General features: G+C 42.3%; 1 protein-coding gene across 4 annotated transcripts in view, besides 5 other annotated features; it reads left to right on the top strand.

Annotated features, from left to right (window-relative positions):
* Positions 1–27,264, top strand: part of PIK3AP1 (phosphoinositide-3-kinase adaptor protein 1) — a 127,200-nt gene that overhangs the window by 12,228 nt on the left and 87,708 nt on the right. Inside the window, exon 1 of one of the 4 annotated variants that reach the window (XM_005269499.2) lies at positions 7,443–7,484. The exons of the other annotated variants lie outside the window; for them this stretch is intronic. The gene's annotated coding sequence lies outside the window, so the exon portion shown is untranslated. Of the gene's footprint in view, positions 1–7,442; positions 7,485–27,264 lie in introns of those variants that run through there. 4 annotated transcript variants of the gene reach the window in all.
* Positions 6,926–7,015: an enhancer, noted in NCBI's record as "active region_3837". NCBI's record gives its function as "activates an Ori minimal core promoter by ATAC-STARR-seq in GM12878 lymphoblastoid cells {active_cell/tissue: GM12878}" and the evidence as "EXISTENCE:reporter gene assay evidence [ECO:0000049][PMID:35858748]".
* Positions 7,076–7,195: an enhancer, noted in NCBI's record as "active region_3836". NCBI's record gives its function as "activates an Ori minimal core promoter by ATAC-STARR-seq in GM12878 lymphoblastoid cells {active_cell/tissue: GM12878}" and the evidence as "EXISTENCE:reporter gene assay evidence [ECO:0000049][PMID:35858748]".
* Positions 7,444–7,944: an enhancer, noted in NCBI's record as "H3K4me1 hESC enhancer chr10:98460100-98460600 (GRCh37/hg19 assembly coordinates)". NCBI's record gives its function as "activates a minimal SCP1, AML or CMV promoter by ChIP-STARR-seq in primed H9 embryonic stem cells {active_cell/tissue: H9 hESC(primed)}" and the evidence as "EXISTENCE:reporter gene assay evidence [ECO:0000049][PMID:30033119]".
* Positions 7,786–7,835: an enhancer, noted in NCBI's record as "active region_3835". NCBI's record gives its function as "activates an Ori minimal core promoter by ATAC-STARR-seq in GM12878 lymphoblastoid cells {active_cell/tissue: GM12878}" and the evidence as "EXISTENCE:reporter gene assay evidence [ECO:0000049][PMID:35858748]".
* Positions 12,729–12,778: a silencer, noted in NCBI's record as "silent region_2657". NCBI's record gives its function as "represses an Ori minimal core promoter by ATAC-STARR-seq in GM12878 lymphoblastoid cells {active_cell/tissue: GM12878}" and the evidence as "EXISTENCE:reporter gene assay evidence [ECO:0000049][PMID:35858748]".

Here is a 27,264-nt window from a genome sequence, read left to right as displayed (position 1 = left end):
TGTTTTCTATTTTTGCCTCACTGTGGGCTATGAATGGGCTATGTGTTTATATTCTGTTCTCTTGCCACATGAGATCTTATATACCTGACGCCAGCAAAGAAGCCTGGAAAATTATGGTCCTGATTTAACTGTGCCTCAGTTATCCCTGGTGTGACTTGGGCATTAATTTGTCTCACCCACCCCTATGCCATCTGATAAATGAAATCAAGAATTTACTAATTTTCAGTGGCCTTAAAAAGGTAATGTAACTTCCTAGGTGCTTTTATCCCAGGAATTGGCTACTCTAAACCAATAAACATGACCACGTCTTTTAACAAAGTAAGATTCCTTCTCATTTTGTAACATAAATCACTAGTGTGAATGTAAAACATGTCTCACCTGAAATGCCGGGACCTGGATTAGTACTTTTTCTAGAGTTTGCTTATCTTTACGTTAGAAAGACAATGATAGAAAAAGCATATAATTCATTTTTGCATGATTGCCTTTCATTACTTTGAAGGAATTGTGATCTGCCCAAACTTACAAAAAACTGAGACACAACTGGTTGTTTCTGTGGATGATCTTATGTCATTGCATCGGTCCATTAGGATCTCGCAGGCCAGCCCCTGGAACCCACCATGGATGTATTGCCACTGACTGGGCATCTCATACTGTACGCTGTAACAGATTGTTCTTTAAAATATTACAGTAGTGTGGCTGGGCGCAGTGGTGCACACCTGTAATCCCAGCACTTTGGGAGGCCGAGGCGGGCGGATCATGAGGTCAGGAGTTAGAGACCAGCCTGGCCAATATGGTGAAACTCCATCTCTACTAAAAAAATACAAAAATTAGCTAGTCGTGATGGTGCGTGCCTGTAATCCCAGCTACTCGGGAGGCTGAGGCAGAAGAATCACTTGAGCCCGGGAGGCGGAGGTTGCAGTGAGCCGAAATTGTGCCACTGCACTCCAGCCTGGGCGACAGAGCAAGACTCCGTCTCAAAACAAACAAACAAACAAAAAACAGTAGTGTTATTTTTTGAAGTAGATAGAAAAAAGGATTATTTTAATATTGTTTGGATGTGTCCAGTGATTCAATACCTGGATAAATTGATCTCTTCTACTATTTCACTTTTTACCAAAGACTGTAGTTCAGTATGCTATGAGCCTTTAGCTTCAAGTGTCTCGGAAAGAATGAACTCATTTACAGGGTGCTCCTGTTCTAAGAGCAGGAACTTCTCATCAGAAAGAGATTACTTTAATGGGAGATTAAAATAAGCTGCTTAGTGGGATATCTTTGCAGTTCAGAATCAATGGATATAGGGACAAATGGAATTGTAAGAAAGAGAAGAGGAGGAAGGAAGCCTTATAGCCTCAATATAACTTTCTTATCTGGTATTAGGTTTGTGAATTTGGGGATTCAAGATCTCTGTCGGTGCTAGGATGACTTGGGTTTGCTTTTTGGGTATTCCATAGCCATGGCCCTTGGTTGGCCTTGACTCTGAGGCCATATTCCTGATTTTTTTTGCTGGACAAGCTTTCTTAACAAACCTGATACTCAGAGTCTGGCAGTGTAGAAAAAAGAGCATTGACCAGGGTTAGGGACACTGCATTACCCGGCTCTGCTGCTAACCAGATGCCTAGTACTGAGCAAGTCATTTTGCCTCTTTGAGTTCCAGTTTCCTTTTCTGTAAGTGGCAGATTTAGACTTGATCTAAGACACTTCCCAAGGCTAAAAATCTGTGATTCACCTAGGCCAGAAAATCTTAAATATTTTTGAAGTATGACCTTCTTGCCACATTTCATACCTGCTTTGACTCCCAGGAAGCTTAGGGCTAGAACAGTATCTAAAGACAGTACTCTCCCTACACTACATTTCTGGGATAATTGTGTCCTTAGGTACATTCCCTATAACTTGTGATAACCCATCTTTTTAAAAAATACTCCTCTTGCATACATGAGGTTTTCCTAAGGTACCTCAAAATAAAAGCAAAAGCTAATATTTTCATATACGTTACTACACCAGCTGCCCAGTCCCATGAGAAATAAGTACATGAAACTTGTTTCTTTGACTTTCTCTGTTAAAAAAAAGAATCCCAATAAGAAATTGGCTGGGCATGGCCGGGAGCGGTGGCTCACGCCTGTAATCCCAGCCCTTTGGGAGGCCGAGGCGGGCGGATCACGAGGTCAGGAGTTTGAGACCATCCTGGCTAACACGGTGAAACCCTGTCTCTACTAAAAATACAAAAAATTAGTCGGGCGAGGTGGCGGGCGCCTGTAGTCCCAGCTACTCGGGAGGCTGAGGCAGGAGAATGGCGTGAACCTGGGAGGCGGAGCTTGCAGTGAGCCGAGATGGCACCACTGCACTCCAGCCTGAGTGACAGATCAAGACTCCATCTCAAAAAAAAAAAAAAAAAAAAAAAAAAACAACTGGCTGGGCATAGTGGCTTATGCCTGTAATCCCAGCACTTTGGGAGGCTGGAGCAGAAGGATTTCTGCTTTGAAGTTTGAGACCTGTCTGGACAACATGGCAAAACCCTGTCTCTACAAAAAATACAAAAATTAGCTGGGCATGGTGGTGTGTACCTGTTGTCCTAGCTACTTGGGAGGCTGAGGTGGGAGGATCACCTGAGCCTTGGAGGTTGAGGCTGCAGTGAGCTGTGACTGAGCCACTGCATTCCAGCCTGGGGATCAACAGAGTGACACCCTGTCTCAAAAAAAAAAAAAAAAAAGAAATGCAATGGAAAATTGATAATGGGGATGAATTAATAGTAGAGACAATAATTGTGGAGTTATTGATTGTAGGGCTATTGAAACTACAGGGAGACAAATTTTAGGAAAAACTTCCTAATTATTAGAGCTGTGTGAAGGTGGAATGGGTTGCCTTTGAAGGTGGTAAGTGCCACATCTCCAGGAGTAAGAGAGTAGATACTGCAGACGTGCTGTAAAGGGATTTAGCTTTGGGGCCAGGGTTGGGCCATGTGACCTTTACAGCCTTTTGATCATAACATTCCCTTACAAGAAGTTCCCCTTTTCACCAGGAACACATTTCTCTTCTGAATTCAATTTTCCTCCTTCACCTGGTATACCTGAGGTTTTTGACTCCCAACTGAAGAAATACTGGTCATGTTCCTACTCAGACCCCAGCAGTAAATAGCATGAAAAATACCTCACTTTATAATTTATGTAACCCTTTAAAATGGTAAAAGTCCCAGAATATTTACATGGCTATATGTCTATTTTTCTTAACTTTGAGATACCTTTTGATAAAAAGGACTATTTAATGAGATATTCACTAAGCCCATTTAAAATTTAGGCTAAATTTTAGACCATGTAAAGTTTAAAGTAAAGCTTAAAGATCAAAGAGAGTGGAGTGGGTAATAGAGTAGAGGAGGTTATTTTATTCTTGAAACTTAGATTACAGGTAGTCAATTATACTTTCTTTTGCTGCTATGCTAGCTAAACAATGCTTCTCAAATTTTAATGTGCACAGAAGGACCTGGGGATCTTGTAAATATGCATATACTGACTCCTTGGGTGGGGCCAAGATCCTGCATTTCTTTTTTTTTCTTTTTTCTTTTTTTTTTCTTTTTGAGATAGAGTCTCGCTCTGTCACCCAGGCTGGAATACAGTGGCGCAATCTCGGCTCACTGCTACCTCTGCCTCCCTGGGTTCGAGCAATTCTCCTGCCTCAGCCTCCCAAGTAGATGGAATTACAGGCATGCACCACCATGCCTGGCTGATTTTTGTATTTTTAGTAGTGATGGGGTTTCACCATGTTGGCCAGGCTGGTCTTGAACTCCTGACCTCAAGTGATCTGCCTGCCTCAGCCTCACAAAGTGTTGGGATTACAGGCGTGAGCCACCGCACCCAGCCAGATTCTGCATTTCTAACAAGCTCACAGGTGATGCTGATGCTGCTGGTCCAGGTACCACTGAGTACAAACAAGGGGTCTAAGCCACCTTTCTGTTGTCAGGTCAATGGTCATGTACCTCTGTCGCATGGGAAGTATTTTCTCTAATCTCCACTTCTCCGGAAATGGAGGCACCATCACATCAGGGCAGCTCCTGGACACCCATCAGTTAGATATAAAATTAGGCCAGTATTTGGTGCTTAGGCCATCAGACTTCAGGGTAGAGCTCCTGCGTTCTCTTCCTTTGCCCCTGCTCATAGATTCGGTGCGTTCACTCTGGCAGTTTTTAATCTTTCAGGTTTCTAGATGTTGGGATGGGGTGCTACTGAGATCACAATCTTTACTCTTTCTTCATTTAATAAGCCCCTTGATCAAAATTACTACTAAAATATGTTTTGGAGGTTTTATTTCCCACCCCACTCTCCAAATTTGTCAGCCACCTTAAAATTAAGCAGATGTTTTAATTGGAGTCTTCAGTGTGTTGGATCAGCCAGTTTATTTTCCAAGTTCTTCATCTGTAAAATGATGGGGTTGGACCAGATAATTTGGAAGGTTTCTTTCAGCCTCCAGCACTGTAATATACCATTATAAGTTTTCTAAGAAGATGGCAAATTCCCGAGAACCTTTTTAACTGATTCAGTTTAGTTCCAAAACGTTTGCAGTGATATATACCTGTGCATAGAAGACTGGACTATTGATCTGACTTTTTGGACTTGTTGGAAGATTATTTTAAATTAAGGAAGTGAGAAAACCCCAGGTACAGCACAGAAATTATTTCCTCTTTTTACTGGGGCTCTATTCTTTGCTTCAAATCTCAATGGAATATAAAAATAGATTCTGTTAGACTGTGTGGGAAAGGACTCTGTGGGTGATATTGAGTGTTTTTGCAAAAGTTCTCATTCGTGTGATGTGCATTTGTGTGTGTTGAGGGTGGAGGGAAGCATTAAACCGAATTCTCCCAATATTATTTATTAATAGTATTACAGTGGAGATCTTGTCTGCTTCTTTTTATGCATTATTTTCTCTTTGCCTCGCCCCTCCCTCTCCATTCCCATTGTGTTTCAGAAGCTCTCATGGTACCCACAAGTATCATATATTTTGCCTTTGATTTCCATGGGAAAAATTTAGAGGGATATGTCTATATATCTACATCTGGCCTGCCTTTGTTGATATTAATGTTCTAGTCTGAATATTAAACTACAGTTTAAAAGAAAAAATAAGGGCTGGGTGCAGTGGCTCACAACTGTAATTCTAACAGTTTGGGAGACTGCGGGGAACAGATTGCTTGAGGCCAGGATTTCAAGACCAGCCTGGGCAATGTGGTGGAAACCCTGTCTCTACAAAAAATACAAAAATTAGCTGGACGTGGTGGCATGTGCCTGTGATCCCAGCTACCGGAGAGGCTGAGGTGGGAAGATTGCTCGAGCCCTGGAAGTTGAGGCTGCAGTGAGTTGTGATTGCAGCACTGCACTCCAGCCTGGGAGACAGAGCGAGACCCTGTCTCAAAGAAAAAGAAAAATAAAGGAATATTTAAAAATGCTTTCAGCTAATCAAATAGATTCCAAAATGTTTTCCTAAGTTAATTAACTAATTAATTAATTAATATTTTCTAGTTTTATTGAGGTATACTTGACAAATAAAAATTGTATATATTCAAAGTGTACAAAGTGATTTTTTTATACATATACTTTGTGAAATGATTATCACAATCAAATTAATTAACACATACATCAGCACACATAGTTACCATTGTGTGTGTGTGTGTGTGTGTGTGTGTGTGTGTGGTGAGAACACTTAAAGTCTAGTCTTAGCAAATTTCAAGTAAAAAATGTGGTATTATTAACTATAATCACCATGCTGTACGTTAGATGCTCAGAGTTTATTCTTTTTTTTTTTTTTTTGAGACGAAGTCTTGCTCTGTCATCAGGCTGGAGTGCAGTGGCGTGATCTCGGCTCACTGCAACCTCTGCCTCCACGGTTCAAGCGATTCTCCTGCCTCAGCCTCCTGAGTAGCTGGGACTACAGGCACGTGCCAACACGCCCAGCTAATTTTTGTATTTTTAGTAGAGATGGGGTTTCACCATGTTGGCCAGGATGGTCTCGATGTCTTGACCTCATGATCCTCCCGCCTCGGCCTCCTGAACTGTTGGGATTACAGGCATGAGCCACCGCGTCTGGCCTGAGTTTATTCATCTTAAAACTGAAAGTTCAACTCTTTGACCAGCATCTTCCCAAGTCCCCTTCTTTACCCCTGTCCCTGGTAAACACCGTTGTATTCTCTGCTTCTATGAGTTCAACTTTTTTGGATTCCACATATAAGTGAGATCATTCTGTATTTGCCTTCCTGTATCTGGGTTATTTCACTTTGCATAATGTCCTCCAGGTTCATCCACATTGTCACAAATGGCAAGATTTTCTTCTTTCTTATAGCTGAAAAATATTCCATTGTGTAACTTTTCTTAAATTTAAAAAGAAACTTTTTTCTGAAATAATTTGTGTTTGTCATAATGTTAAAGAAGAAAAAAACCCCTGTAAGTTCTAATTTTTCCCCTTTTATAAATAATATTGCAATAAATGTTCATACAGCTTCATGCCTAAATCTTTGTGAATCTCTGTTAATTTCCTCTGGATCATACTGCTATAGAGTCCCCAGAGACAGGGTTGCAAGCCTGCTCTTAGCATCTCCCCACCCTCCCCCATGCAACCTGAATCTACCGCCTTCCTTACTGCTATTTATTTTATTTTATTCCCTTTATGCTTGGTTCAGTCTGTCGTTTACATTTGCAGTTTCTCTTGCAAGGATAGTCGTATGGAGAATGTGTACCCTCCTCCCCTCAGGGAAATAATTCATAAGAAGATGAATGGTTTTTATGACAGTTACCCTGTGTAATGCATCAGGTGTTTTACATGTATTTATTCCTCCCACAACCCCAAGTGCACAGATGGTTTCAGCGCCATTTTGCAGATGAGAAAACTAAGGTTCAGAGAGGTTAAATGATTGGGGTAAGCACTGGAACTCACTTTGGAACACAGGGCCTTTGGGCCTAGAAAGCTTACACTTGGCCTTGCTTCTCCCCTAAGTCTTTCCTCTCCACCCTCCTCTTCCACACTGAGATAAAGAATGAAGAATGCTCAAGGAAGAGAAAGGATCAGAGAAAATGACGCTTCCCTGAGTGCTCCAGGCCATAAATTTCCAAGTCAGGCTGAGCATTGGCAATTTCCCTGCACTATGTTTAAAATGTGGATACCTGGGCCCCACCCCAGACCTACTGAATAGGAATCTCTAGAGGTTTGTCCTGGGAATATGAATTTGAAAAAGCCTTCAAGTTGGTTCTGCTATGCAGCCCAGCTTTGAGCTTTGCTCCATGCCTGGTGTCTTGTCTTTCGGTTTTTGGGTCACAGGAGCCCGCGGTAGCTCAGGCCCTGTGGTCTGTTATAGGCTATTATGGGCTGTTATGGGCACAGTAGTCCCAAGGGGCTCAGAGCCTGGCCTTGGCGCGTCACAGGCAGCAGCCCTGAGAGAAGAGAAGGGAGTCAGACCCTCTGAGCAAAGGGGAAGTTGCTGCGCTCTGCTCGGTGTCGTGGCCTCGCAGATGGTAAGTCATGGACGACTTCTGGGGCTTATGGGGCACTTTGCAGGACTGAGGGGAAAATCTAGGCTTGGATCTCTTGAAAGCAACGATTGTGGTGCTGCTGTCCTGGTGCCTTGTGCCTGTGGGCTGTTGGGTTGCTCTTTCTCTGCTGTGGGTTAAGCCACTCTGCAATTGCCTCCTCCAGGATCCTCCTTAAATACCCCCTGCTGAAGGACGCTTTCTTTTTCTCTTCCTTTTTGAAATGATCTTTTTGATTTGGGGAAGAAGATACCCAGCTGGGATAGTGAAATCCTTCCAATGTCACTAAAAAGCTACAGCCTGTCCAAGAGTCACTTGGGGTTTCCCCTGCCTGATACCCTAACTGCCTTGCGGAATCAGGGGTTGTTCACACTCCTAACTGTGGGTCACTGCCTGCTGCTCCTGGAATAGTTAACGAGGACTAATGCCTACAATAGATTTTGTGCCCATGGAAATTTTCCCCTGAGCCTTCAGAGTCGCCCAGGATTACAGTTTTCCTGCAAAGCCGAGAGATCTCGGTGGGGTGGTAAACTCGGCCTCTCCTGCCGCTTCGGCGGCCACCCAGAGAGGGCCTTCTCCTGTTCGCGTTACACTTTCATGGTCCCTCAAAGAAGTGTCTGCAAGTCCCTATGTCAACTGTGTTTGGTGAGCCACGGGGAAAAGGGAGTCACGAATGCTGAAATTTCCGCTCGTGTGAGAATTTCAAGTTTGCACCTGTCTCTGTCTGAATTTTCTAATGTATGCCAGAATGGAAACATCAGATGTAGGAATTTTATCGGTCAATTTCTTACCCTGTTGTTTCAGTATTTTTTGCATCTCACTTCTCCTGGCACTATTACTAGAAGAGAATAGTAGAATTCAGGAGGGACCTGACATCTGTGTTACCCTCTTTCAAAACCCTTTTATCGACATTATTTCATTTGGCCTGTGCAGCTTCCCTATAAGGCAGATGTTAATGTTATTTCCGTTTTAAAGATGACAGAAACAAGGCCCAGGCAGGTTCAGTGACTTGCCCAAAGTCACACACCTGCTTTTCCATTAGGGCTAGGATCAGGGTGAGGGCCTCCTGTCTTGTAGTCCAAGGCCTGGTTATTGCCTTATGTAGAAATCAGAGCCAACTGTTCATCTGATGGTTATTTATGGAGCATCTATTATATTCTCAAGGCCCTGTGTTGGGTGCTCAGTTAGAGCAGGAAAGACAGTCACTGCTGTGATGGTGTCTACATTCAAAACCAGCGCTATCCAAAAAATGTATAATGTGGGCCATATGTGAAATTCAAAATTTTTTAGCAGCTGCAGTAATTTAAAAAAAGTAAAAAGAAACAAGTAAAATTAATTTTAATGATATAGTTTATGTAATAATATATCTAAAATATTCTCTTATTGATATATAAGCAATGTAACAATTACTGAGATATTTTACATCTTTCTTTTATATTTGAAATTTAGTATGTGTTTTATAGATAACACAGATTTCGAATGTTCAGTAGCCATATGTAGCCAGTGACTGCCATATTGGACAGTGAAGCTCAAAAAGAATGTTTACTTTTCAGAGAATAGGAGCCATCTATCAGTTAATAATTTAATTTTAATTTTTTTTTTTGAGACAGAGTTTTGCCCTTGTTTCCCAGGCTGGAGTGCAGTGGCACCATCTCGGCTGACTGCAACCTCCACCTCCTGGGTTCAAGCGATTCTCCTGTCTCAGCCTCCCAAGTAGCTGGGATTACAGGTGTGCGCCACCACGCCTGGCTAATTTTGTGGGGTTTTTTTTTAGTAGAGATGGGATTTCTCTATGTTGGCCAGGCTGGTCTCAAACTCCCGACCTCAGGTGATCCACCCACCTTGGCCTCCCAAAGTGCTGGGATTACAGGCGTGAGCCACTACGCCGGGCCTAATATTTTAATATTTTAAGTGTTAAAAGTACACTTCTTCTAGTTTCTTCACTCATTCATTTATTCAGTCATTTCAAAGGTATTGAATGAGCATCTGCCAGGTGCTGGAATGTTGTATAACACTGCTTTATTTATTTTACTTATTTATTTATTTATTTATTTTGAGACAGAGTCTTTCTCTGTCACCCAAGCTGGAGTGCAGTGGCATGATCTCTGCTCACCGCAACCTCTCCCTCTCAGGTTCAAGCAGTTCTCTTGCCTCAGCCTCCCGAGTAGCTGGAATCACAGGCATGCACCACTGCACCCAGCTTAGTTTAGTTTAGTTTAGTTTAGTTTTTAGTTTAGTTTTTAGTTTAGTTTAGTTTGGTTTAGTTTAGTTTTAGTTTAGTTTAGTTTAGTTTAGTTTTAGTAGAGATGGGGTTTCACCATGTTAGCCAGGCTCGTCTCAAACTCCTGACCTCAGGTGATCCATCTGCCTCAGCCTCTCAAAGTGCTGGAATTACAGGCGTGAGCCACAGCGTCCGGCCTATTTTTTTCTTTCTTTCCCTCACTACTGACCTCTTCTTTCTTGTTTTTCCTTCCCACTCCCCCCTTCTTTGTTCCCTTCTATATTTTGTCACCTGTTTAGCTTTGTTCCCAAGCTCCAGAAATACAGTGTTAGTTGAGACAAAATTGGCTTTGATTAACAATAGAGTTTCTGTCCTCGAAATGACAGCTTACCATCAGAACTAATGAAACGGAGCTCCTGGCAGCCTTTGTGAGGACAGAATCAAACCAGGGTGCTCGTCTGCCCTTCAAAAAATAATGTTTGGCCTTGGGCCCAGTTAAATAGATTATTGTTGCATCTATGCAATGGAATACCATCCAGACCTCAGAGAGAACCAAGCAGTTCTCTTTGTGTTGATATGGAAAGTCTGCCAGGATTTATAAAAAGAAAAAACTAAGATACAGAAGAATGTGTATAGTATAATGTGATTTAGGTATGTTTTAAAAAGAAATATATTTATGTTGGTATATGCATTACTTTTTTTCCTGAAAGGATATACAAAAAACTGTTGATAGTGGTTACCTTTGGGTGGATGGAGGACATTTGGAACTTTTTGTTTTAGACATTTCTCCAGTGTTTTAATTTTTCTGTGTTCATGTGTTACTTTTTGTTGTTTGTTTGAGACAGGGTCTTGCTCTGTTGCCCAGGCTAGAGTGCAGTGGCACCATCATAGCTCACTGAAGCCTCAACCTTCCAGGCTCAAGCGATCCTCTCATCTCAGCCTCTTGAATAGCTGGGACCACAGGCATGCACCATCATGCCCGGCTAATTAAAAAAAAAATTTATTTTGTAGAGATAGGATCTCACTATGTTGCCCAGGCTAGTCTCGAACTCCTGGACTGAAGCAGTCCTCCCCTTGTCCTCCCAAAGTGTTGTGATGACAGGCATGAGCCACCACACCCAGCCTGTTTTACTTTTAGTTAGGAATTTTGAAGAGAAAAATGATAGACTCTAGAGGAAGATGTTGGGCTTGCACTCAGATAATCCAAGTAGGGTACACTTCAAGTTAAGTTCGCGTGTACAGACCTGGTGGCCTTTTTCCTTAGCTTCATTAGGGTGATGTGATAAGTGGAAGCAACATGGTATTGGTTTGTGTTATTGCTGTAATGACTGCACCGTCACTCACTCGGGGTGGGCTAATACCTATAACGAGAGAACAGCTACTTATCACGGAGTCATATTTTGACTCTTGTCAAATTTAGGCTGATGTCTTCTTAGGTTACTACAATCTTTATGACAATCAGTAAGAGAATAAGGGTGTGTATTTCCAGATTACAGAAACTGGTTGAGCCACCTGAGGCAATTCACTTGGCCACTCTGTATCTATTTTTGTTCTCTTTAAAATGCTTATGGGAAAAATATGTTGACATCTCAGACATTTACAACCATGAAATTTCTTAATTCCAACTATGTGTGATTTTACATACCTTGCATTTCATTACTGGGTCTCGATCTAATATTTTTCCAAATCCTATCAAGGTATGGTAGTGTATTCACTTCAGCTAACAAATTATCCTTCACAATAGAATTTTAAATGAAACTTTAAATGCATTAATAATAACTTTCTGTTTATGGACATTAGCTCAAGTTGAGTCTTAGGAGTATATCACATTATACCATTATCTGTGTGGATATGAAGGAATGTATGTATTTAACATTTTACATGTACTGTTTACTATGGTCTGCATGAAGATTTATGCATGTGGGTTCATAGAAAGATAATGGGGGCAGAGGAAATGGGGGTAAATATGCATTACAGAATGGGTTTGTTAATTTCCCTGTTATTACAGGATGTTTTCGCAGCTTTTCAATTTGGTTTCCACCAGCCATTCACATGACCCAGAGTAGGTCTGAGATGGCCCAGGAAAGAGGATGATTTAATGCCTTAAATGATTCTTGATCTGCCCATTGGAGAAATTATTGAAACCACAATAGGGCTTGTCATATGGTCTTCATTCTGGGCAGAAAATTTTCAGTTTCAGCCAGTTTGGTAAAATTTAGACTGAAATAGGACAGTTGGTTTTCTAAGACACAGAAAAATTAACAAAATCAGTAATTGATCAAAATTGCCTGTTCTGTGGGGAAAAACTTGGGGACTTTTAAAATTTTCACTGTTTACGTTTAGAAAAACAATACTGGTCTCTTACTGACAATGTTTTATGTGTGGTAGATGCCTAGTAAATGGTGGTTGGATGGATGACTGGAGGAGTGAGTATATTCATGAGTTATTATCCATTTTCCTAACTCTTGGGACCATTTTGAATGTCCCAGTTGCAGAAAAGATGTCCCTCCCATGAGCATCTTATGTAGAGGCTTGATGCCCTTTGGATTGTCAACCATTTCCATGGAGCAAATTTGTCTTCGGTAACATAGGGTGTTTCTAAACAGAAAATTACTCTTCAAGTTCAAACAGGAGCCTACACAGCACATGTATTTTTCTGTGTCCATACTTAAAAATGTGCCAGATACAACAACCTGTCCCACAGAAGAATTAAGTATGCCAGTCTAGGAGCTAGTTAACAATTGGAATTGTTAGTTCCTTGGGATATGTATAGGTCTGTCTCTGCAGAGATTAAATTGGCTGTGTCTTTTTTTTTTTTTAAAGGAGAGCATAAAAGTGAGGCAATCTATAGAGTTTTGGAGGAAACCTCTAGAATTGGGTTAGTCATTTTGGGAATTCCTTGGTACTTTTTCTTCTGGGTTTATAACTTCTGAATATGTGCATCTTCTCCATCACCATTAAGAAGTCAGACCATCTTAGGTTCTTATTTAAGAAAATGCTGGTTGAATATGCCTATTTTGTCTACCAGCTTGCCAGTTTCACAGACTGCTGGTTTACTCTCCAACATCTGATAACACAGGAAATAGCGGGGGAGGCTGATGATGAAATGAAAATGCTCTACTTTTAAATTAGACTAAAATAAGTTTCTTTTTACATGTACAGCTAATGTTTGAGGCTGTAGTTGCAGTTAAAGCTTGCAATAAGATAGGAAGGACGTTCATCATAACTAGCAGATAGAATAATATTAGCACTAGCAGTTGACTCGGCTTTTAGAGCATGTGAAATGTGGGAAAACATTTCTGTTGCAGGATCTGGCATTTAGTATTCCAAACAGAACCAACCTGTTAACTTGTTCTGAACCAGGGTTTTCCTTTTATTTTCTAAAATTTTCTGAATATCCTTGCTCAAAGCCTGAGTTTGTTGCCAGAAAAGATCTCTGACTGTGATTGTGTTTTTGTGTTATAGATTTTTTTCTGGAAAAATGTAATGCTGAAATAACTGTATAGTTATTTGGCAGACTAAATATTTATTTTTATTTTGTAGTCACTTGAATTAGGAATCCCCGTAGGTTATAGAAATCCTTTAAAACAGTGTTTTGCCCTAGTCTTTCCCATGGTCCGGGGCATGCATGTGATTAAAACTTGCCCATACTCTGCAAAACAATCTAGCTTTAGAGTCTTTGATGGGGAAACAGAGGCAAGAAGCCATTGAGTCAACAAGATGGAAATATGGAATATGAACATTAGAAAAGGGCCAGTGCAGCACTTTGGGAGGCTGAGGCGGGAGGATTGCTTGAGCCCAGGAGTTTGAGACCAGCCTGGGCAATATAGCAAGACCTCCATCTCTACAAAAATAAAGTAAAATAATTATCTAGGCGTGGTGGCATGCACCTGTGGTCCCAGCTACTTGAGAGACTGAGGTGGGAGGATCGCTTGAGCTCAGGAATCCAAGACTTCAGTGAGCTAGGACAGCCCCACTGCACTCCAGCCTAGGCAACAGAGGGAGACCCTGAAAAAAAAAAAAAAAAGAAAGAAAGGAGGGAGAGAAGGGAAGCGAAGGGGAGGGGAAGGGAGGGGAGGGGAGGGAAGGGAAAAGGAAACTTTGGGATCATCTGGACTAATCCCTTTAGTTTAAAATGAACAAAGTAGGACCCAGAGGGGTTAGATGACTTGCCCAGTATTACACAGTTAGTGGCATAGATGAGACTGTAAATTTATGTTTATATTCATCAAATATTTATTGAGTTTATGGAGTGTCTGCCATGGGTGCAGCACTGTGCAAGATCCAGGGGAGACTTGATGAAAAAGTCAGATGCACCCCCTGCCATTGTGAAGTTTATGTGTCCTAGCAGGAGAGGGACACTAAACAGTGTTACCCTATTACTTAATGCCAGGAGTATCCAGAGGTATGAAGGATGCTCCCTTTGAATCATAAAGCAGACCTGAGATATCATGGGGGCCTCTTTGATAGGTCCTTACAGCATCCTTTAAAGAAAAAAATGACTGTCCTGAGCAACCATCTTGAAAAAGAGAAGAAAAGGCCCAGCTTGTAATTATGGCAAATGTTACATGCTTGGCTATTTAATGGTATCCTAGAGCCCAGGTTAACTATGGCTTTCAGGCAGGGCAGTCATTTTTTCATAGTAGTAATTAGGACTATCTAAACTTTTAGAGTAGCTTTATTCAAGCACTTAATTTTAAAATTAGCATTTTACTTCTTAAGTTTGTAGACAGCAGTGATGCTGATGTGCATATATTAATATGTTCCCGCAGTTTGCAGATTTTACATTCTAAATGTGTGTCTGTTGCAAAGTAATAAGGATCAATATAAAATTCTGCACAGAGTCCAACAGTTGCACAAGAACAGGATAAAGGGATATGTATTTTAAGAGTAGCATATGTAAGATCTGGTGGCTTTAGTTGAAGACATGAGTCAACAGAGCAATGTCACTTCCAAGAAAGTGTTACGTGAAGGTTTATGAACAGAAGTATTGGCATCAGAGAAGAAGCTCTTCCTCTACCCTGCATTTGTCAGCTTATCTGGAGAAGTATTCAACATTTTAGTGGCAGGCTGAACGAGGAGTACACACACAAATCATCCATCCATCCATCCATCCATCCATCCACTCATCTATCTATCCAACTATTCATCTTTCCATCTATCCATCCAGTTATCCATCCGTCTGTCCATCTGTCCAGCCATCCATTCATTTATTCGCCCATTTTGTTTATTGTCCCTTTAACAGAATGGAAGCCTCCCTCAGAAGAGCAGGGTGGGGTGGGAAGTTGGGGGGATTGCTCACTGCTGTCTTCCTGGGGCCTGTAACAGTACTTGACATGGCAGGCCCTCAATAAATTGTTGAACGACTGAATAGAATGAATGTGAGAATTTCAAATTCTGTCAGATGAGAAATAGTTGAAGGAAGTGAACTTGTTGTAAAGAAAAGTTTTATTGGAGCCACGAGAACTATCAGAGTTTTGAAGGCCTGTCACATGGAAGAACAGAGGGGCAGGGCCTTTTCTATGTTTCTACAGTGGACAGGGCAAGGAGCAATGGATGAAAGCTGCAACAATGGCAGGAATGGCAACAAGGCAGGTTTAGGAAGCCCTCATAATCTGAAGACAACTGATCCTGGGAAAAGCTCATTTAAGGTAGATACAATTAAGCCTGGGTTAAAATTTCATAGTAAATACAAAAATAAATTCTTGATTGGGACTTTTATTTTGAAAAACAAAACTGAACATTAAGAAAATAAGTTTATTTATTATATTAACACAGTTTTGATTATAATTTCAGCTATAGGCTAATTCTGCAGTCAAATGCTCTGCCACTGAGCTATACCCCTTTTATAGGCTAATTCTAAAACCCCACAAGGACTAAATCAATTGTTGTTAGGTTTTGTACAGGAGGGTTTGAGTACATTTTTATGACGTAATTTTATGCTAAAACAATATAACATTTCTTTCTTTTCTTTCTTTCTTTCTTTTTTTTTTTGAGATGGAATCTTGCTCTGTCAGAGTAAGCTGGAGTGCAGTGGCGATCTCGGCTCACTGCAATCTCCAGCTCCCTGGTTCAAGCGATTCTGCTGCCTCAGCCTCCCAAGTAGCTGGGATTACAGGCATGCACCACCATGCCCAGCTAATTTTTATATTTTTAGTAGATATGGGGTTTCACCATGTTGGCCAGGATGGTCCCTATCTCCTGACCTTGTAATCTGCCTGCCTTGGCCTCCCAAAGCGCTGGGATTACAGGCATGAGCCACTGCACCCAGCCACAATATAACATTTCTTAGTTCACATTTGATTTTTTAAAACAGCTGTATTGAAATATGATTCACAACACATTTGACCTTTACAATTTTCTTAAGGCCTCCTCTTAACCACCATGTGATCTTATTTGATTTTGATTATTGGAAAGCATCTGTATGGGTTTTCTTCTGTCCAGTAGGTAACCTCTCTAACTGTCAGCAGCTTTACTTGTGATACAGTTTTCCAACATCACTTTCATCAACTTCAAAAAATTTCTCTTTTGCAAAATCTAGAATTACCCTGTAAAACCAAATCACATTGCACTCATAGTTTATTGTGGAGAAATCTTAAATCTGGGAGAGACTAAGCAACAAAAATATGACCTGATGGATGAAAACATGCACCAAGATTAAGCAAGCAGAGATGTTTAAGTAGGGACTGATTTCATAAATGAGCATTTTTTTGTTAGTAAATAATTTTATGTTATAAAACATTTACCTTCCCAATGTTACCATAACTATGGGAACTTGAAATAGGAATACTCAGAAAATGATAAGAGTTAGGAGCCACTAACATGGGTTAAGTGTCCCAAGCTTCACTTCACCAAGCAAAGAATGAAAGGAATGAATATCCTGGCACGTCTGTAATTCATTCTATTGGTAGACCAGTTGGGAAATTCTGCCATCAGTGATGGAATCCTGAGTTAAAACAATCCCGATGGGCTGGAACACTGGCCCCAGTCCAACGTATAACATTTAACTAAGTTAAGTGTTGAATTATTGCAATTAGGTCCCAAGCCTTGCCCACCACCTCCCCCATCCAAGAAAAACATAAAATAAAACCCAACTGTACAATCATAGCATGGCAAAGGGAAAGGCTTGGCTTCCACAGTTTACATGAAAAACAGCTCAAGTTCTGAGGTGACCACATGCTCAGTATGAATCAGCAAGGGGGCACAATTGCTCTAAGGTGCATCTTGAGTTTCCCTTGCGAACAGTGGCCATATAGCAAGATATAACATCCTTTCTTGTATTATACACAAACTCCATTTACCCATCTGGAGTTGCTGTTTGCGGGAGGTGGGGAGAGTGGGGAGTTAGTTTGAGGGTTTCGGGGAGGTACAGACAAGCCTCAGCTGTCTCCATGTGAGGCCTGCTTTGAAAGGCTAATGTATTGCTTTGTGCTTGTTTGCTTGGAAGGAGGGAACTCCAACCTGGGAAAAAGAGGAATTAAGCAAGCTATGGGCAGGGAACGGGTGCAGTTGGTCCTCAGAGATACCTGGAGCCAAGGACTGGAACTCCCTGGAGTTACCTCTTCACTTCTCATTTCTATGTCTCCGAATATTGGCATCATTCTCTCTGATGAGTCATCTCCAAGAAGAAGAATTACAGCCCCTAGGAGCTTCCATACCTCACGTCTTCCAACTCCAGCCCTAAAGAGGAACCAATGTTTATTTTCTCTGGCCCAAAATTTAAAAATCTCAGGGTAGGATCTAATTGATCAGGTGCCTTACTCTAGGCTGATTAACTGTGGCCAGGAGATTAGAGGACTATGATTGGTCCACTCTGGTAGCCTGGAGTGTGGGCTTTCTAAAAACTTGGCAGCTGCCATTCACACCACTTGGTGAATGTGGAGGGGTCAAGATTTTCCCAAAAGGAGATTGCTGTTCTTATCATGCGACACAAAGATGAGCGATCTGGACACATGCCTGGGCCTGAGGAATAGAGAAAGAACGGGGAGTGTTTAATTTTGGACTTTTGGGCTGGGTGCAATGGTTCACACCTATAATTCCAGCACTTTGGGAGCCAAGGTGAATTGTATGAGCCCAGGAGTCTAAGACTAGCCAGGGAAACATAGTCAGATCCCATCACTACAAAAAAAATAAAAAATTAGCTGGGCATGGTGGTGCACACCTATAGTCCCAGCTACTCAGGAGGCTGAGGTGGGAGGATCACTTGAGCCCAGGAGGTCAAGGCTGCAGTGAGCTGTGATTGCACCACTGCACTTCTCTCCAGTATGGGTGACAGAGCGAGACTTGGGGTGGGGTGGAACTGAGGGACAGAGGCTCAGCATTGACAAATGACCTGCCCAAGGATACTCAACTGGTTAGAATCAAAAGCCCCAGGCCTCCAACACTGAACTCAGAGTTTCATCCTCTATACTTTGCTGTCTTCCTAAAGAAGAAAATACCAAGGAGATACATGATAATTACCTTCAAACACGTGAAGGACTTTTATGCGGAAATAAGCACAGTGTAGTCTGAAGATGCTCTGAAGGGCAGATTAGGATTCCTGGACAGTAGTAACAGAGAACAGAATTCTACTAGATTTAAGAGAGAACACTGACACCTGGAATGGCCATGTCAGGCAGGGCTGGAGGCTGGAGGCTGGATCCTGGGCACGTGGCTGCTGCATTCTTTCAGGGGAGAGGTGCTGTGGGCCTGCGCTGAGCAGGGGCAGTGAGTAAGGAGAAGAAGGAACACTTTGGAGGGGTAAAAAGCAGACAGGACCAGCAGGACATGGTGCATGATTGTGGGGTAGAGGGAAGACGGAGAACTCAGTGGGTGAGTTCAGTTCCTAAGCATGGAAGTTGCCTGCTGTGGGACTGGCATGTACATAGAATCTGCAAAATAAGAAAGGGCTTTCAATGGGGTGGACAGTTGAAAACTTCATGGAGAGGATGACACTGAAAGAAAGGATTGGATTTTAAGAGGGTTGGATTTTTTTTTTTTTTTTTTTTTTTTGAGACAGAGTCTTGCTCTTGCTCTGTTGCCCGGGCTGGAGTGCAGTGGTGCGATCTTGGCTCACTGCAAGCTCCGCCTCTTGGGTTCACGCCATTCTCCTGCCTCGGCCTCCTGAGTAGCTGGGACTACAGGCGCCCGCCACCACGCCCAGCTAATTTTTTTTTTTTGTATTTTTAGTAGAGACGGGGTTTCATCATGTTAGCCAGGATGGTCTTGATCTCCTGGCCTCATGATCCGCCTGCCTCGGCCTCCCAAAGTACTGGGATTACAGGTGTGAGCCACCACACCCGGCCAGGAGGGTTGGATTTTAAGAGGCATCGGTAAGGATTAAAGGGAAAGACATCCCAGGACGAGGGAACTCCATGGGCAAGGCACAGGGAGAGGAAAGCACAGGATGCGTTTGCATTTGGGCTGAGAAGTGGCCTGAGTCTGGGATAGTGGGGAAAAATGATTATGAAGGTTATATTGAGTCAGTGGAAGAAGAACCTTCAACATCAGGATGTGGTAAGAGCCTTACCCATTTTATCTCAGAGGGCCTTCTGTTGCCTGGGACAGCAATGTGACCAAAATGGCATTTGGAGAAACTATGGAAATGGTCCAGCTAAAGGGCTATCTCTTGTTCTTTAGTCGGTTGGATGTAGAGATAAGCACATGTAGATCCTACCTACGTGAAAGATGGGGGGTGGGGGTAATGCGTATTTTAATTAGCCAGATCTAGCCACTTTATGATGCATGCATATTTTCTTTTCTTTCTTTCTTTCTTTCTTTCTTTTTTTTGAGACAGAGTCTTGCTCTATCACCCAGGCCTGGAGTACAGTGGCATGATCTCAGCTCACTGCACCCTCCGCCTCCTGGGTTTAAGTGATTCTCCTGCCTCAGCATCCTGAGTAGCTGGGACTACAGGCATGTGCCACTACGCCAGCTAATGTTTGTATTTTTAGTAGAGATGGGATTTCACCATGTTGGCCAGGCTGGTCTCGAACTCCTGACCTCAAGTAATCCACCTGCCTCGGGCTACCAAACTGCTGGGATTATAGGCGTGAGCCACCGCGCCCAGCCTAATGTGTGCATATTTTTAAACATCATGGTGTACATGATAAATATATGTAATTTTTATGTTTTAATTAGAAAATTAATTTTAGAAAGAAATGAGAGCCATGTTATAAACATTTTCTGAGGAATATATCATAGCACATTTCCATGGCCTCGTATTTTATTGAGATAGTATCAAGTGCTAAGTTCCTGTGACTTATCCTCGCCCTTTGATTCTTATCACCAACCCCCTTTACTATCACTATTTATGAACTTTAGAGGGCTCAGGTGGTGTGTTTTTGCAAGGCCTCATCTTCATCCTGGGTGGGGAATGACATTGGCTGGGAGGAGCAAAAGGCCCTGAAGTGCCTGTCGAATCAACAGTGAAAATGCCATGAGGTGCTTGTGGGTGGGTGGGTGAGTTGTTTGTCCCTAAATCTGCAGTAGCCCCCTGGCACATAAACATAACGTTGAAGAGAAAGAGTGTGCTTACTCTGCCAAGGCTTCTTCAAGGGAAATTTCCTGTCCCCCACCCCTTCATGCCTCCCCATCAGATTTGCTCCAAACCAGCTCTGTGAATAAGTCACCCTAACTAGCTTCCCAACCGTTGCCTACCCAGATGCCACTCCAGGCTCAGGCCTTAGGATAAAGCAGGGACAGGGCTGATGGCAGAGAGGGATGGGCAGGCTCCATGTGCAGTTCATGCGGAGGAAGGAAGAGCAGTGGTGAGTTCCACAGACTAGGAAGGGAAGGAAGGGTGGGTCTAGTGTTTACATGCTTCCCTGAGTTGTGGAGGAAGTTAGTGCACAAGGTCTTTAATGCAGGCATGAGGGTGGTTAGGGCCTCAACGGATGGTGGCCTTGGGATTAGAAAGCAAGAGATACGTGTACGAGATTTAGGAGGGAAATTCAATGGGAAAAATAGAGAAAGCGGGACAAGAAGATAAGATTTTGAGCGTGGGTGACTGGAAGAATGATGTCACTGACAGAAATGATAGTCTACAGGGGCAGCTAATTTTGGAGGAGGGTTGGGCATTCACTCTCAGGAGTGCTGATCTGGTAATGATTACACAACCCAAAATCACTGCAGAGTGGACATTTGGAAGTGTGAGATTGGCACTCACGGGGTGGGCCTGGACAAATGGATGTTTTTCTTAATTCACTATTTATCAAACACCCACCATGGACCAGGCTCTGTGCTAGGGATGCAAAATCAAAGAAGGCTCCAATTCATCCTTGAAAGGAGGAGATCTTTTTTCTTTTTTTTTTTTTTTTTTTTTTTTTTTTTTGAGATGGAGTATCGCTCTTTTGCCCAGGCCGGACTGCGGTGGCGCTGTCTCGGCTCACTGCAAGCTCCTCCTCCCGGGTTCACACTATTCTCCTGCCTCAGCCTCCCGAGTAGCTGGGACTACAGGCGCCCGCCACCGCACCCGGCTAATTTTTTGTATTTTTAGTAGAGACGGGGTTTCACCGTATTAGCCAGGATGGTCTCGATCTCCTGACTTTGTGATCCACCCGCCTCGGTCTGAAAGGAGGAGATCTTAATCAGAGTCATCTAACAGAGATCAAGAGATCAGTTTCTAAAACACAGAGGGAAAAAGGAGCGTTCAAGGCAGTGGCTTTCAAAGGCACGGCCTGGGCACACCCACCTCCATCCATCCTGCCCTTCACAGGGCAGAGTGGGCCATTGTGGGATCCATGTTGAAATTTTATGTATTTTTTCTGTAAATGTTAACGAACCAAGTTGGTTTGGATTTGCATTCTAGATGTTGAGTGGAAGAGATATGACGCACAGCTGCACACGCAGTCTGCAGGAACCTGACTGTGCTGTCTCTGTATTTAACAGAGGATGGTCGGGGCATAAAGTAGTCCTAGTCAAGCAGCCGCACAATGCTGAGGGCTGACTGGGTGAATATCATGAAAGCTACGGGTGCTCTTGTGGATACTGTGAAATGCTGTTATGTTCTTAAGAGGCTGGGGGAAAATCTGTATCTTTTTTGTCTTTCTTCTTTATCCCACTGCCTAAGCCCATCCAACTCAAATTCTGTTACCTGTGGTTTCTCTTTGCTCTGGACTCCTGTGGAGCTCATTTGCGGTACATCCACGGGTAAAACTCATTTATCGAATTGTCTCCTGAATTCCAGTTTGGTTCCCGAGCTAGAGTGTGTAAATCCAGTAGGAGCAGGGCCCACATATTATTCTGTGGGATTTTCCTTTTGCTTAGCACAGTGTGGGCTCTCAGAGATCTTAGTAAATGCTGTTTAGTTGGCTGGCTGTTGGGTTGAAGTCTTGGAGCACAGATATTTTAGTTAGTTCTCCGCTGAAGCAGCTTTGGAACAGAGTGATTAAATTACTATCTGGTTAGGGTGATAGTCATTATCTGACAAAAATATGCGTTGACTGCCTACATCCTGAATTGTGAAGGAAAAAAATGCTTTTGGAACACTCATGATCTAAATAAAGCATCAAATGCAGTTTCATATTTGCCTCAGGTGCTTCTGCTGCCCTCCCACTAATATGTATTTATTAAACATCCACCCCTTGAATTTAGTGAGGACTTGGTGCTATATGGGACGTGGCAGAGGGATTACAGATTCTGTAGCAAAGACAGGCCCTGCTGTCCAGGGTCTCAGGAGCTCAGCCAGTGTGTGGGCATTAGTCTGTTGGTGGCTAGTTTCAGCATCTGGGACTTACTACTCAGCAGGGATGGGCACACATGTCATCCCTGAAGATGCCTCCATGCTCTGCCCTGTGTTGTCAGAATTAACTCTTTAGTTCCCTACTGCTGCATCGGACCAGGACATGTGGACATGGACCCTGGATATGAAGGAACTCAGTTGGCCAAAGCCGCAAGCCTAAGATTCAGTTTTGCAGAACTCTAATCCTGGCTCTAGTCACCAGCTCTGGGTTATGGGGCAAGACTTTCATAGGCTTCATTTCAGTTGTGGGTAAAATGCAGTGAAAATGCACACCTCGCAGGGCTGTGGGAGATGTAACTGAGATGGTGAATGGAGACACATCTCCCCTCTTTCCTTGCCACCACCTTCCTCACCCACGGCTTGTGTCTGCTATTTCATCAGCATTGGCTACCAGCCCAACTATGGCTCCAGGGGCTGTGGGCAGATGAAGATGGTTTGTGTCCTTTCTTGCCCAACCACAGCCTGGCTGCCTCTGCTCCTCCCAGCTTTGTGGACCTGAACAATGAAGTACCAGGATGGGGGAGATTTGGAGGTGCTCTCTCTTTGCCTAGTTCATACCAGCGATGGGTTTGTGCATCTTGAATTTGATGACCACTGGAATGACCACTCCCAAACCATGCAAGGATCATTTTAGATTTGACACTGGTTATCTAAGGAACTCTAAAAAAGAAAATCACAGCATAAATAACTCATAAGCTGAATTTTGTGGCATTTGTAGATATATTTATTTATATTTTTCAAAAGCAGTATAAGTTTACAGAAGATAACCAAAACATTCTTTGCTTCCTTCCTCCGCAAAAGCCACACGTCTGCATCATTTCTAGGAGGCTGTGTTGGGGAGATTGTGATCTTCCTACCGATCTTTTAAAAAAGCAAACACAAACAAAAAACCAAGAATCTGGTGTTGGTTGCAATGCATGTATTGGTTCAACTCTTACAAAAGGATTTTATCCTTATCCTCAGCTTGTCCTGTTAATTGGCAACATCTATCAGAGAGTGCCGCCTCAACTGCTCTGATCTTTAATTTTTGTGATCTTATTTAGGTTTTCCATTGCTGATGGTTCTTGGTGAAGTTTTTTTAAAATTTCAGTATGGAATATATTTGTTTGGCTCTTATCTTTTCCAACCATTTGGAAGGTACCCATTCTGTCTTAAGTTCTGCCAATTGCACCTCAAAGTTTTTCTTAAGATTGCCAGCACAGGTTCATTGGTCTTTGAAGGCACTGGGATGTTCTTTCTGATTATTTCTGCAAACTCTCTCCAGTAACTCAGTGGCATAGGTCTGCCTCTCCCCCTGCAGCATGGTCCAGGCTGCCTTGGACAGTGGAACACATTGTACAGCACAGCCTGTCTGCTCCCAGATCAGACTTTGTGGGTGAATCAAGACATCTTGTCTCACTGAGCTGGGCCTTGGCCTCAGCACAAGCCTCGCTCAGGGGAATGGCCATCCACTGCCGTTCCACTAGAGTTGGCACCTGGGAGGAAACCAGCATCCCATTCCTGGACTAGCGTTTTTCTTGTATATATTATCACACTTAATATGCAAGACTTCTCACTTCTGGGCATGTAAGATACTTTGGCAACTATTTGGAAATAACCCACTCCTTGCTCACATTGCCTAACTAGCTATGCCAATGGTCTTTAATAGAAAAGAATGGCTGAGAAGCTTTAAGAATGGCTTATTTTTGCTCTACACAATGCCTAACTGTTAGGAGTATTTAGAGGAGTTTCTTTGTCATTTGGGGTGGAATTCAGCCCTATCTCCTAAGTGGCAGAATGGCACTGGAACTAAGTCAGGGCGTTTTCAGAAATCTCAAAATAAATGCCCTGTGGTGAGGCCTACCAGGTCTTAATAATAAAAGTGGTAGACTGTTAGCCATCAGTCTAATTCAAGTGTCCAGACTGGAGTTATTACAATGAGTAGCACAGCCATGTGACCAGCATTACTTCCTATATATACAGTCTTGAATGTTTATTCAGAGGAAATGGATTACAATTTCCCTGACATTTGGGCATAAAACATCTGCCATCCTATGAATTAGAAAAGTAATGAGGTCTTGGATGATATGTCACTTATCTTTATTAAATGCAGCTCTCAGCACGTAGTAGCATCTAGTGCTCAATAAATGCTTGATGAATGAATTAAATGAATGGACTATCACTACATCATAGTTCGGCTGTAAATACATAGAATAAAATGATTTGGCTTATGGAAAATGACTTGATTTTATTATCTCAATTTTCAATACAACTGAATTGCCCAGTTTCTGGGATTCTAAGTAGCAATGGAATGAGATGTATAGAAGTGATGAGATGGGTGGGCTTCATTAATTTGTTAGTGGGATTAGTGTCATAAGTAGATTTTTTTTTGTCAGTACATTTTCTGAAAGTGTCTTTTCTTACCTTTTTCTAAATCTGAAATACATTTCCAACATCTCTGAATATTCAAGGCCTCTCTTACAGCATTGTACTCATAGAGTGAGAAACATTTAGACTCCTTGAATGAGGATTTATCTCTTTATCTGTGGCGTACTCTCCTTACAGTTGCCTATTCTCACAGTCTTAAGCCACTTTAGCAATTGAATAATTCCTCTTGGATGACTAGGTGAATTCCAGAAATTTTGGGGGATTTGCCAATTACACACTGAACAGTCCAACCTTGTTTTATTTATTTATTTTTAGACATGATGCGGACATCCTTTAGAAATTAACAGAATTGTATGCCCTGGCTTGCAGTTGTTATCTCAGGGCACCTTTTAAGTTTTGGTTGTGACAATTTTCACAGAAGCGTTGTTCGATTCTTAACACTGGACCAAATCCTGGAGACTTGTGCAATGATGGCCACCATTTGGGGGAATAAGTGTATGTTACTAAGTGTCTAGAAACTACTTCAAATACCTGTTTTAAGAACCTTGCTACAGTCTGTTTAAATGTAGTTTTTTCAAAATAGATTTTTAATGGTTATCTTCTGAATAGCTTGGATTTGCAATTGAAGAGGAAAGCAGCTCTTTTTAAAAAAGTAGATTACATCAGAGATGGAAAAGTTGTATCTAATTCTGTGTGATGGTTGCTATGGTGATGATTGAATGTAAATTTCAGTTTATGGAAAACCCTGTTAAGGTTTTGATTAGAGACCAGAGGTGAGGCTTGGGGTCAGTTGGTGAAGTGGCTAAAAAGCATCTATTAATGGGGCGAAAAGAAAAAAGAATGACGGGGTCACATGCAGCTCGCTCCACACCCAGGTATCAGTCAGCACAGGCTTATCTCATCATGGGGAGACGGTACAAATTAGAGCAGGGAAGGAAGAAAGGTGCTTCCCTTTTCCCTTGATTTCTTCCTTGAGGAAACGGAAGACGGGAAAGCATCCTTGGAGAGAAGGCAGCTCTTGCAAAGGTGAACTCCCATGTGCCAGTGTCATTGGTTTGAAGTAGGCATTTGGCATGTGGGAAAGGAGCTTCAAACAACAGATGCAGGAGCTGGACTCAGCCATCTTGATGACCCTGCAGTCACGATTCCCATCCTTTGAGTACCCGCTCTTACCAGCAAGAAGGAAAGGAAAAAAAAAATCAGCAGAGGAGTAATAACATCAAGTTACCCTAAAGCTTCAATCGTTAGAATTGTAAATCAACCTGGAGAGCAGGCTTTGCCCCTTAAGTTAAGCCATTTAATCTAAGAAGGGACACTTAAGGATCAGGAGTAACTGATCTATGAACAGGTGTTTGTTTATCGAAATCTTACTCTATAGTGCTAGCTATTTCATTCTCTAGTATTTGTGTGCAGTTGCTCTAATAGTGCATCCCCCCCTTGTTTCTCTCTCTCTCTCTCTCTCTCTATATATATATATATATATACACACACATATATTTATGTATGCATATTTTTTAAAGTCTATAAGAGTGAGAAAGTATACCAATTACTTTTCATTAACACATCTATAAAAACCTGGATCTTTAAGTCCCTGAGCAAAATGTGGTCATCACTGCCCTCGTGGGTAATTGCATACAGGCATAGTCACTCTGTGATACAGGCACTCAGGATAATTTTAAAAGTGTTCCAGATGCAGTTGCTGCTACCCATGTCCTAAGTAAAATTGGGAAGTCACCAAATTTGCCTTCTGATAACCTTCCAGCTCTTCTTCCCTTACCCTTCTCCATTATGACTCATCTTCTGCACAGCAGCCTCCGGTTCGGTGCCTTCATGTCCAGAGTCACCTACTTTGACTGTGGAAACATCCTACTAGAGCCCCCTTTTGGGCCCAAGTTTCCAGAATGATCTTTCTCTTCAACACTCTCCCAAACCTAGCTGAAATCTGCTCTCCAAAGAGACTGATCTCAGCATAATATGAGAGAATAATTGGATTAATGGTCGTCCTTGAGGGAGTGTCTAGAGGAGAGCCAGCAGCCCTGGTTTAGGTTTCGTGGCCAGTTATTCTCTGACTTTGAGGCATACACAGAAGTCAGACATCACATTTGTTATGGGATGAATTGTGTCTACCTTATATTCATATTTGGAAGTCCTAACCTTTCGTACCTCAGAACCCGACTGGATTTGGAGATAGAGTTTTTAAAAAGGTAATTAAGGTAAAATGAGGTCATATAGATGGGCCCTTATCCAATATGACTGGTGTCTTTAGAAGGAGAGGGGATTAGGACACAGATGTGTGCACACACGGAAGAGAAATTATGGAGGACAGAGTGAGAAGCCAGCCATCTGCAACCAAGCAGGGAGGCCCGAGAAAAAAACAACCCTGCTGACACCTTGATCTTGGACTTGTGGCCTCTAGAATTGTGGGAAAGTAAATTTCTATTGTTTAAGCCACACAG

Source organism: Homo sapiens, chromosome 10 (assembly GCF_000001405.40).
Source record: "Homo sapiens chromosome 10, GRCh38.p14 Primary Assembly".
Taxonomy (NCBI): Eukaryota; Metazoa; Chordata; class Mammalia; order Primates; family Hominidae; genus Homo; species Homo sapiens.
Note: the sequence above shows the minus strand (reverse complement) of the source record. Positions and strands in the feature narration are given on the sequence as shown.